The sequence below is a fragment of the Homo sapiens genome, chromosome 17, assembly GCF_000001405.40.
Source record: "Homo sapiens chromosome 17, GRCh38.p14 Primary Assembly".
Classification (NCBI taxonomy): domain Eukaryota; kingdom Metazoa; phylum Chordata; class Mammalia; order Primates; family Hominidae; genus Homo; species Homo sapiens.
Window position 1 is genome coordinate 4,084,484 of NC_000017.11, and position 12,222 is coordinate 4,096,705.

General features: G+C 44.0%; 1 protein-coding gene across 8 annotated transcripts in view, besides 1 other annotated feature; it reads right to left on the minus strand.

Moving 5' to 3' along the window:
* ZZEF1 (zinc finger ZZ-type and EF-hand domain containing 1) overlaps positions 1-12,222 on the minus strand; it is a 138,586-nt gene that overhangs the window by 80,039 nt on the left and 46,325 nt on the right. For all 8 annotated transcript variants that reach the window (XR_007065288.1, NM_015113.4, XM_005256561.3 and 5 more), the window contains exons 10-16: positions 12,126-12,217; positions 11,348-11,496; positions 6,236-6,347; positions 4,195-4,410; positions 2,951-3,051; positions 2,003-2,172; positions 1,187-1,320 (exon numbers count right to left, since the gene is read on the minus strand). Coding sequence is in view for 7 of the 8 variants with exons in the window: in NM_015113.4 (NP_055928.3) it covers positions 1,187-1,320; positions 2,003-2,172; positions 2,951-3,051; positions 4,195-4,410; positions 6,236-6,347; positions 11,348-11,496; positions 12,126-12,217 (974 nt within the window). In the remaining variant the exon portion in view is untranslated. The remainder of the gene's footprint in view (positions 1-1,186; positions 1,321-2,002; positions 2,173-2,950; positions 3,052-4,194; positions 4,411-6,235; positions 6,348-11,347; positions 11,497-12,125; positions 12,218-12,222) is intronic.
* Positions 1,724-2,003: an enhancer, noted in NCBI's record as "active region_11532". NCBI's record gives its function as "activates an Ori minimal core promoter by ATAC-STARR-seq in GM12878 lymphoblastoid cells {active_cell/tissue: GM12878}" and the evidence as "EXISTENCE:reporter gene assay evidence [ECO:0000049][PMID:35858748]".

Sequence of the window (12,222 nt, forward strand, 5' to 3'; positions counted from 1 at the left end):
CACATTTCTCTAATTTGTCCCCTTGGTATACTTACACTTCCCTGTGTTTTACCATCATTGTAACACAGGAACCTGTGAAGTTCCTCTACCTAGGTGTTTTTGATATGGCCTAGAGAGAAAAAGTTTTGTTTTGTTTTACATTTTTTCATGTATCATACTCATTTTCATACAGAAATACTTCCTTCAGAAATAAAAACCTGGATCTTTGTATAGAATATTCCATTTGGTAACACAGTGCTTATAGATACTAAAAGCATTTTTCACCCCAGCTACTAATGTCTGAGGAACACGAAGAAGTGGTCTAGGAGAGTGACAAGAACCATTTAAGGAATAAAACTTGGTGATACTGGCCTGGCAAGTGGCTCACGCCTGTAATCCCAGCACTTTGGGAGGCTGAGGTGGGCCAATCACTTGAGCCTTGGGCTTCGAGACCAGCCTGGGCAATATGGCAAAACTCATCTCTACAAAAAATACAAAAATTAGCCAGGCGTGGTGGCATGCACCAGTAGTCCCAGCTACTTGGGAGGCTGAGGTGGGAGGATTGCTTGAGCCTGGGAGATAGAGAATGCAGTGAGTTGTGATTGCACCACTGCACTCCAGCCTGGGCAACAGAACAAGAACCTATCTAAAAACAAACAAACAAAAAAACTTGGTGGTATTAGTTTTACAGATATATACTGAAATATTTATGAATCAAATGTCAGGAAGTTACCTTGAAATAATAATGGTCAGTGGGGAAAGGAGGAAAGGGGGGTGAGGTACACTGTAGGTAAAACAAGATTAGCGTGAATTTATGACTGTTGAAGCTAGGTGACAGGTACATTTGGGGGACAGGGGCATTCACTATACTATTTAGTTAGCTTTGGTATTTGTTTTGAATTTGCCTATAATACAAAGGTAAAATGTGGAAAAGAAAGGATGGTTGTAGGCAAGTCACAAAGATGAAGGAGACTACACTGTCACTTTGTGAGACATCCGATCATGAAACACAGATTGGGAATACGTGTCATCCCACTCTGAGTGGAGTGCCATGTCCTTAGATATCTGTCCCACACAAAGCTCTGCATATAATATTAATACACATCTGGGACGTTGCAACAGACGATATATTCAGAGGTAACAAAGCCTAGCAAATTTCATCCTCACAGACTTCAGACATTGAATCCAGACTTTTAGTAATAATTACCATCATGGTGAAGAGATGGTTCCGTCGGGTCTGTCGATTAGGAAAGAAGATGGCAGCCCCATTGAGAAGGGTATTCCTGACTTCTTGTTTTAGTATCTCCATGGGCACAGAGTCTCCATCCACCTTGTCCACCACTGATAAAATGAACAATGGCATCAGCTTTCATATATTCCATCTATTCGCTTATACATCTGCTATAACTAGCCTATAAATTCACTACTCTCCATTTTGTACTTAATACCAGAGTGAAGAAGTATTTCTGTACAGGCCAGGCAGTATAAAAAAATATTTTTTATTTGCTTTCATTTAACTAAAACAAAGACCGTATGTATCAGTTTTTATGTCATTACTTCCCTGTCCTTTTGAGACACAACTTGGCAAAGCCTTAAATAAAACTTCAGAAGCCCACGTGTTTCACTCCCCCTCAATCTATCAGCCTCATCTGAGTGACTTAGTTGAAGTTAAGGCTCAACAGTATGATAGTAATGACTCTCAACATAACACAGCTATAGATCTGAAACCAGGAGGAAGAGAAGTCAGCTGAGGAAGGAATAAATCCTGAACTCAAACTAGTAGCTCAAAAGAGCATCAGGGGAAACACTCGTTTCCCACAGCGGCAATCCCTTTCTGGGGGATTCCCACAGCGGCAATCCCTTTCTGGGGGATTCCCACAGCGGCAATCCCTTTCTGGGGGATTCCCACAGCGGCAATCCCTTTCTGGCTCGCATCATCGTAGGACAGCCCTCTTCTCTATAGCAAGAGGCCCTTCACGCTACCTACACAGGGTTGTATTAAAGAGAAAACCCAAATCCCTACCATCACACAAGTGTGTGTACAGCTCCTTGGCAGCCTCTACTCCTTTAGGGCTTTGGATTGGAGCCTTTTCCTCCTCAGAAGCAGCCAGTACATCTCCCTGCAGCACAGAGAAGCAGCTCTGGAGTAGCTGCAGAAGCAGGGTTTGGGCAGAGACGCATTCTTCCCTCGGGCTACAGAAAGACAAAAAACATCAGAGAGCAAAAGGGCAAGTTGCATTTACTCTCCAAAGCCATATAGCTGTCTACAAAGGACTTTCCTCTAGGCATCAGGCTCGATGAAAATAATGCCAACTGATGCAAACTGAGAGGAAGAAGGGTGGACCAGAAAGAACACTGTACTAAATGTCTGGAAACAGATCCCATCTGACTCTGCCCACTGTGGGGAAGGAAGTTCATTTCTTTTTGTTGTTGTTGTTGAGACCGAGTCTCACTCTGTCTCCCAGGCTGGAGTGCAGTGGTGTGATCTCAGCTCACTGCATCTCAGCCTCCCAGGTTCAAGCAATTCTTCCGCCTCAGCCTCCCAAGTAGCTGAGATTACAGGTGCCCACCACCACACCCAGCTAATTTTTGTATTTTTAGTAGAGACGGGGTTTCACCATATTGGCCAGGCTGGTCTCGAACTCCTGACCTTGTGATCCACCCGCCTCAGCCTCCCAAAGTGCTGGGATTACAGGCGTGAGCCACCGCGCCCAGGCAGGAAGTTCATTTCTGATCCTACTTTTTCATCTGTAAAATGAGGACAGTACTGTAATCCTTGACCTGCTTACTACTGCCTAAATATTTTATAGAAATCTGAGGTGTTATTTTCAATAATAACCATATATTTTAAATCGAACCATAAACACTGGTAGGAAGTAAAAAAAAAATTAGGAAAAAAATCCACTTAGAATAGTAAAACTCATTGTTTTCAGTTTATGTGCTTATCACCTTATAACAAATTCTGACCTACTTTTGCTTTAATTTACTGTAAAAATTCCAGAAGATCTGCAAATCAAGACCCGCGAAGTCCAGAAAAGATTTATATTTTAAGCCACTTTCCTTCTGCTGCACCTAAAAAATTATAAAGATCAGAATAAATAAAACTGAAAAATGCATTTAGAGAAATACTGTAATGCCTCATTTACTTCTAATTGTAAAGGGATGAGGTGGCTCTACATGAGTGAGACTTTCATATTACTGATGCTTACTCTTAACTACAAAAAGGTTTGCCAACAACTATTTTTGGTTTGAAACTTTCTAAAATATATGTGTGTGTTATATGTATGTATGTATGTAAGTGTATATAGATATATACACACAACACACACACACACACACACACACACACACACACACACACACATCCATGAACGCTCCTGACTTCCTAACCCAGCACATAAGCCAGTCTTTCCTGGATGATCACTGTCCAGGACTGTACTACAATATACTGACGCCTTCCCCGTGCATGGACTGAAAGGTATCAATCCTTCCGTAAGCATGCCTGTTATTTCCAGGCTTCTCCTTCTTATTTGCTCTTTTCTACTGTGATAGGAGGTCTGAATAACGAAGACCAAACAAACCTTATATGAACTGAGTCACCAGCCTCTGAATGTGCCCTGAAGCAGAATGGGGATCAAGAGTGGACACTGCTATACACTACACATGCGAGGGCTCCACCCACTGAACTCCCGAGGCTATGGTGATGGCTGTAAGAATCTTCCTTTGAGTGAGTTGTCACTGTGTTATATTACTGACTGTAAGAGTCAGTATCAAAAAAGTTAGAAATCAAAAAATCATTTTTGATTCGAAATCCTGCCATTATTTTCGTATTTTCAGTAAATAATGAAAATTCACCTAGACCTCAGTTATAATTCTTCTAGGACTTAAAGAAGATGCAAATCCCATGAACTCTGTTCTGTTTGTTTCCCCATGGCAGCCACGGCCAGGGCTCTTGAAGATGTGTCTGTAGGTCTACTCCGGGAGAAGCCACAATGATGGCCACAGGCCACTCACTGACTCACAGGCCACTTCCCTGACTCATGCCATGAATGCCCAACAGCTCACTTTCCTCAGCTTTTCATGTCCCTGCAGCAGTACAATGCCCATCCTATTGGCTTCCGCAGGGGCAGGTTTTATCAGTTGGTGTTCATTTCTCTGAATACTGTCATTCACTTTTCCTAAAGGAATGCCGTCTAACAACTGAGGAAGCCCTACCAGGTCATGGGCGAGCTGCTGGATAAACTGAAGGGTCCTGAGGAGCAACGTGGCCCCACAGACACTCTCCTCTGTGTCCTTTCTGCAGTGTGCACAGGTGACGCTCTGTTCTGCTTCTGCTCTTGCAGGCCGGAGGTACCCACTGATGGTCAAGCCTTGCACTCCCAAGCGCTCTGCTGACTCCTGACGGGTGCAGAGGAACTTCACCATCAAATACTGGACAGGACAAGAGAGATTTCAATAGAAGAACTCAGAATCCCTGAATATTGATTAAAGAGGGAAAAAGGCCTTTCCGGGAAGGTCTTCCTATGATTTTCGTAATTTATTAGGAAACATTATGCTCAGCACTAGGGACACAAAATATAAGTCCAGCATTTACAGTACAGAGAAAAAAAAGACAATACAAATGTTGAATAAAGTCAGGTTTGGGTAGATTACAGTAAGGAAAATTGCATCATTACTCCCTCTTGGAGGCAAAAACCAGAATAGAGGATGAAGAAAAGTACATTTGCTCTGTGGCAGTCATTTTGAAACAGAAATCAGATATAAGACGAAAACAGTCAATGCCCTCCACCTCAAAGCCCCCAAGTGATATAGGCAACCCCTAAGCTAGAAACCCAGGAAAACAGTCCTGTCTACTCAAATCTAGGGCCATTTTCCAAACCCAACTTTCATGCAAACTACCTGCTTCTTATGGTGAGCGCTCTTTGTTAAGGGCCTTTCAGAATACACTACTCAACTGCGTAAATATTTACCGAGCACCTACTATTACGTGCCCTTAAGAGAGTTCCTAATTACTTATTTAAGCCTGAGATTTACATCCAAGGTTTAGCAAAAAATTAAGCAGCCAAATAATGATTGGTCCTTTCTATGGAAAGACACCTCTCTTGAGTTGATGCCTGTGTTCTCACTATTCTCTCAGCCTGAGGTGCCCTCCTCCACACACTGTAGCATGGCTAAGGATGCTGTGTTCTCACTATTCTCTCAGCCTGAGGCGCCCTCCTCCACACACTGTAGCCTGGCTAAGGATGCTGTGTTCTCACTATTCTCTCAGCCTGAGGCGCCCTCCTCCACACACTGTAGCCTGGCTAAGGATGCTGTGTTCTCAACTATTCTCTCAGCCTGAGACGCCCTCCTCCACACACTGCAGCCTGGCTAAGGATGCTGTGTTCTCAACTATTCTCTCAGCCTGAGACGCCCTCCTCCACACACTGCAGCCTGGCTAAGGATGCTGTGTTCTCAACTATTCTCTCAGCCTGAGACGCCCTCCTCCACACACTGCAGCCTGGCTAAGGATGCTGTGTTCTCAACTATTCTCTCAGCCTGAGACGCCCTCCTCCACACACTGCAGCCTGGCTAAGGATGCTGTGTTCTCAACTATTCTCTCAGCCTGAGACGCCCTCCTCCACACACTGCAGCCTGGCTAAGGATGCTGTGTTCTCAACTATTCTGTCAGCCTGAGACGCCCTCCTCCACACACTGTAGCCTGGCTAAGGATGCTGTGTTCTCAACTATTCTCTCAGCCTGAGACGCCCTCCTCCACACACTGCAGCCTGGCTAAGGATGCTGTGTTCTCACTATTCTCTCAGCCTGAGGCGCCCTCCTCCACACACTGTAGCCTGGCTAAGGATGCTGTGTTCTCACTATTCTCTCAGCCTGAGGTGCCCTCCTCCACACACTGTAGCCTGGCTAAGGATGCTGTGTTCTCAACTATTCTCTCAGCCTGAGACGCCCTCCTCCACACACTGTAGCCTGGCTAAGGATGACAACTTAATCTTCAACATTTGACATCACACCACCCTTCCTGAGAAGCTTTCGAGTTACATATTTTTCCCCTGGTTGCCAACAGCTCTCTGTCTCTCCTTTTATCACAGCTCGTATCACACTGTCTTACACATCTGTCTCTCCCACAGAGTATGAACTCCCTGAAGGTAGATTCGCCTCTGGGGTTGTAGCATTGGCACAGGGCTGATACACAATCACTACTCAAAAAACACAGAATAAAAGGAGGGGAGTGGGCAAACGACGCACTAATGCTTACTTTGGCAACTCTGCACTGTTGCAGCTTCACATCTGCTTCATCCCATTCTTCTTCCAGTTCAAACCAGCCAATAGGATCATCCTCTCCAAGGTCATCAGATGAGCAACCAATCCTGTAAAGACAAGAGTATTCACAAAACATTTTATTTTGAAACTTCTCAAGGGTCTAACAAATAAGGTATCATCTAAGTGACATGTAACTTGTATCTGTAGCCTGTCAGTGAACAATCGAGAGCTGACTATGGTACATGGTACCCTGTGAGCACATGAGACAGTTGGTAGTATTGCCTTTCCATTGCTCAGTCTCCTTCTCTATGAACTGGGAAATATAATCTGGGAACTAAGGAGAAAGTTTGCTTCTCTAATTGGCTCATCTGAAGAATGAGACAGAAAGTCGGGCATTGTGGATGACTCAGGAGTAAGGTCCAATGCAACAGCTGGCATGTGCTTCTGGAAAGTGCCAGAAAAGAGGCAGGCTTGGTTTTCTTTCCCTAGGTCTGGCTAACATGTTTATGACCAACCTGAGGTTTGGGCCACTTGCAATAGCTGATGGGTAAACATCTGAGGGCTTTCAGATCCTGGAGGTCCAAAAAAACAAAAACCCCAGCCTTCGTAGGCCTCAGTATTCTTGTCTGTTTCTTAAGAAGTTCTTTCAGAAAAACATTCCAGCCTTGAGGCTGAAGAGATGTCTTCTCTTCTTTTTAAGAGAATGTATGCCACTTCTTTTTAAAAGCTGAACACTTAAATGCTACTCCCTTTTCAGGAATTAAGTAACTAAGATGTGCTGGGCACGATGGCTCACACCTATAAGCACTTTAGGAGGTTGAGGTGGATGGATCACTTGAGGTCAGGAGTTTGAGACCAGCCTGGTAAACATGGCGAACCCTGTCTCTACTAAACATACAAAAAATTAGCCAGGCGTGGTGGTGCACACCTGTAATCTCAGCTACTCAGGAGGCTGAGGCAGGGGAATCACTTGAACCCAAGAGGTGGAGGTTGCAGTGAACTGAGATCACGCCATTGCACTCCAGCCTGGGTGACAGAGCAAGGCTCCATCTCAAAAAAATATAAAAATAAGGCCGGGCACGGTGGCTCACACCTGTAATCCCAGCACTTTGGGAGGCTGAGGCAGGCAGAGCACCTGAGGTCAGGAATTCGAGACCAGCCTGACCAACATTAAGAAACTCTGTCTCTACTAAAAATACAAAATTAGCCAGGCGTGGTGGTGCATGCCTGTAATCCCAGCTACTCGGGAGGCTCAGGCAGGGGAATTGCTTGAACCCAGGAGGCGGAGGTTGCGGTGAGCCAAGATCGTGCCACTGCACTCCAGCCTGGGCAACAAGAGCGAAACTCCACCTCAAAAAAAAAAAAAATAATAAAAATAATATAAATAAATAAGAAGGAGAAAAAGAGCAGTTTTTTCAAGTAACATTCCTAAAACTTTACACTATTCAGTCTGTGATATATAGCCACCAAGCTGGCGACACATTAGTATTTTATATAGGTAAAACTACCAAAAAGAGGGAATTATGGCAAGAAGACAATCCCGAGTAGGTTCTGTAACAGAGAGAAAACATGTCCCTTTTTTTTTTTTTTTTTGAGATGGAGTCTTGCTCTGTCGCCCAGGCTGCAATGCAGTGGCACAATCTTGGCTCACTGCAACCTCCACCTCCCAGGTTCAAAAGATTCACCTGCCTCAGCTTCCCAAGCAGCTGGGATTACAGGTGCCTGCCACCACACCTGGCTAATTTTTTTGTATTTTTAGTATAGATGGGGTTTCACCATCTTGGCCAGGCTGGTTTCTGACCTCAAGTCCTGACCTCAAGTGATCCACCCGCCTCGGCCTTCCAAAGTGCGCTAGGATTACAGGTGTGAGCCACTGTGCCCGGCAAAATGTCCCTTCTTAACATAAGTCTTTCTTGGCATAAACCTTTCATGACACAGTTAACCCTAATGGGAAACGGTATTCTCTTAAGCCAAAACCATGTCAATGAGTTTCATCAATATCATAAGCTTAAAGATTTTTTAATCTACTCTTTGGGAGTTGTCAAGGAAATCTTCGAGATACAGAAAGCTGGCAGGGTATCAGAGAACAGAGAGAAGCAATCTTGTTCCCTACACTGCACTACATAGTAGGCAAGATGGAAGACAGATGAATCCTAGTCCTCTGACGTAGGCACAGCACCAACTGCTGACCCTGGAGCATGCTGACTGACGAACGCCTGACCAGGAGGACATGACCAAAAAAAAAAAAAAGGCAAAAAGAAAATGCATGCACATTAATATTTTGATTTCCAAACTGGAGAGGGACTGGTGAATATGTAGGCCAACAAAATCACGATTTAAGAGTCATTCAGGCTGGAATCAGGAGCTAAAATCATTAAGGGAGTGGTGAATAGGCCTCTATTTAGGTTAAAAAAAAATCATCCTGTATAAGATGTAAAAGACCTTGTTTAACAGCAGGTTTAGGGGAAATGACCCATTTTAATTTGTCCCAAGAGTAGGACATAGCTGCCTAAAACCCAGTGTCATCTCTAGTTATTACTTTAAAAGAAAAGCAGTGTTTAAAAAGGCATACACGTGTAACGGAAGGGAGATTTTAGGAGTGAAAGACATTTGTTCAAATTCATTAAAGGGCTGAAACGAAGACCACTGAAGAGACATTACAAATGTGGATTTCAACTGAACAAATTCTGATTACTGAAGTGCCTGATACGTGGTGAGTTTTCCATCAACGGTATTGTAGAGAGGCTGACCGAACCTTTGCCAGGAATGCTGCTAAAGGAATTGCAGCAAGAAGAGCGAATTATTCGAATTATTCTAGATCCTTACGATTTCAAGTATGGTCCACAGACAGGTAGCATCAGAATCTCCCGAGAGCCTGTAAGAAATCAGTCTCAGACCCCACCCAGAGCTCCTGAATCAGAATGTGCATTTTCACAAATTCCCTGGCTGATGTGTATGCACACTAAAGCTCAAGGAGTACTGCAGTGGATGGTACTGAAAGGCTTCTATTAACACCAGCAATCCACTACCCATGAAATAATGCAGGCAAGTTCAGGGTTTCAGCTCCTTGAGTATTTTTTTTTCTTGTCTTAGCTTCTTCAATTTTAACTCACTAGTAGCAATAGGGGAGGTAACCTTATCCAAGGGGGCACCAGTGGCTACATCCGACAGATCCACTTTTAGACTTTACCTTCTGACTTCTGGGTAACATCTGACACCATCGCCCATTCCCTCAAACATTATTTTCCCTTGGCTTCATGGGACACAGCTTTCCTTCATGAGGCCCTGGCTTTCCTGCTGCTTGTCTGGCTGAGTTTTCCTTGTTGCCCCTTAAAGCCTGGTGTGTCTCATGTTGACCTAAGTTCTCTTCTCTTCCCAGTTCACACACTCTTGCAGAATGATCTCTTCCACTTCTACATTTTATTTATTTATTTTTGAGGCAGGATCTCACTCTGTCACCCAGGCAGGAGTGCAGTGGCGTGAAGACAGTTCACTGCAGCCTCAACCTCCGGGGCTCAAGGGATCCTCCCGCCTCAGTCTTCCAAGTAGCTGGGACTACAGGCGCGTGATACCATGGCCAGCTAATTTTTATGTTTTTCTTTTTTTTTTAGAGATGGGGGTCTCACTATGTTGCTCAGGCTGGTCTCAATCCCCTGGGCTCAAAATCCACCTATCTTGGCCTACCAAAATGCTGGGATTACATGCATGAGCCACCACACTTGGCCTATTTCTACATTTTAAATTATCGTTTAAATGCCTCTCATATCTGTACCTTCAGCACAAACTTCTCTTCCTGGCTCCTGACCTGTTTATCCATTGGCTACCGATTATCCATTGGCTACCGAACACCTCAAAGGTTTCTCAGAACTTCAAATTCAACAGAACAAAATCTGAGCTCATCATCTTCCCCACAAACCTGTTTTTCCCCAGAGTAAGAAAGGCACTACCAATTTCCCCACCTGCTCAAGCCAAAAGCCAGGATTCACTGCCGATGAGGCTTTTTTCCCTCTCCTGCTCCACATTCAGTCAATCACCAGGTCCTGTCGCTTCTCCCTCCTAGTGGTCTCTTGGTCCACATCTCTGCACTGCTGCTGCTGCTCTAGTAGGAGTCACCCACTGGCTTCCTAGGCAATAAGTGACAACCTCCTCCCAGCCCAGCTGCCTCCAGACTTGCTCTCCTCCAGTCCATACTACACACAACATGATCCTGACCAGTGCTTCTACAACATGCATTTGAGCCCCCTGCTTTTCTGGAAATGCCTCAACACATTCCCCTGCCATTTCCCCTCACATGATGCTTTAAGGATACAGAAACAGAGACAAAGCCCTGAATGCCCTGCCCTTTCCCAGCTCTCCAGCTGCATCTCTCATCACCCTCCCTCCGAGTATCCCTCAGCAATGCGGGACCTGCCCGTTCCTTCAATGTGCCATGCTTCACCTCTGGGCCCATGAAGCTGCCCTCTCTGCTTAGGACATTCTCCTTCCAGTGGCCGATCAACTCCAACTCATCCTTCATAAACAGCATAACAACACTTGCTCCAGAAAGATGTCTCTGATCAGGAGGGCCGCTCTGCCCTGTGTCCCCACAGCGCCCTTTCTCCCCTACAGCACATTCATAACACTGTTGATACTGCAAGTTTTCTTACCTGTCTTCTGAGCTAAACAGTAAGCTATATAAAGCAAGAACTGTGCCAATTTCCTCATTACGGTATCTTCAGCACCTAGCATCAGGCCTGGCACACAGTAGGTACTTAATAAGTATTTGTGTTAAAAGCAGGAATGGGAGAAGGGGGGTTGGGGCAATGGCTAAAGACTGCAGGCTGTCCACAATTCAGGCATAGATAGATCATTACCCAGCCATTGTGAAGATGTGTGCCCCTGGCCACAAAAGGGACTGAGTAACATGCTATGAACAAATTAACATACACATCTTCAGATATGCTACTAGAAAGCAATGAAGGCTTATGGCCACTGAGATGGATTAGTGGCGCCTTTTCTATAAAGACAAGCAAGCACAGTTCACCAATGAGCATGAATACATTCTTATTAACTACAAAGATTTTTGTTCTGTAGATCTTTGTTCTACAAAGATTTTTTACCTTCTTACCTGCTTTTTACAAATTGCCTGAGCTCCTGAAGCTTCCATTTGTCATATTTTTCAAACCTTTTGAAGTGTTCTTCCGCACAAAATTTATCTGAAGATGAGTTATAGGCAAACACCAACCCACACTGGGCACCAATGCCACCACGTCGAACCTGGAAACAGAGATTAGGATGAAGTCTATCAAAGGGGCAAAAGTTCTGTGGCCGTTTTGTTTCCAGCATGGTTAAATTCAAACAGGTTAAAACAAAACGAGACCAATGAAAAATATTTCAAACATATTAAGCCCTCAAAAAATAAGAAAGCTGTTTCCCAAGAAATGTTCCTTAACTTTCTCAATCCTTATATTCTCACCATTTCAAAGACTTTACAGTCTATCCATCTTTGTGTCCCTGCCCTCTGCTACAGGCCTGACACAGAGTAAATCATCATTAAATGTTCAATGAATAACCAATGACATGGTCAGCCATAGGTCTGACTTTAAAAAAAAAAACCAAAACACCAATGACGTGGACTTCTGAAATGTAATAAAAGGTAATATTCAATAATAACCTAATTGTACATGGAAAAGTAACTACAACAGTGTAATGGATTGTTTATAACACAAAGACTAAATGCCTGAGGGGATGAATAGCTCATCCTCATCCTCTGTATGATTATTTCACATTGCATGCCTGTATCAAAACACCTCATGTACCCCACAAATATATATACCTACTATGTACCCATAAAAATTGAAAACAAAAGTAGTAACATTGCTTAAAGAAGGTAGCACGAAAATTACCATAATTCTTATCTGTGTAACTTGGAAGGCAGATTCAGTTCCGGTAGAAAAAATAGTGCTGGCTCTGGTTTTTCCAGTTTCCGTAAGAAAACCTGAA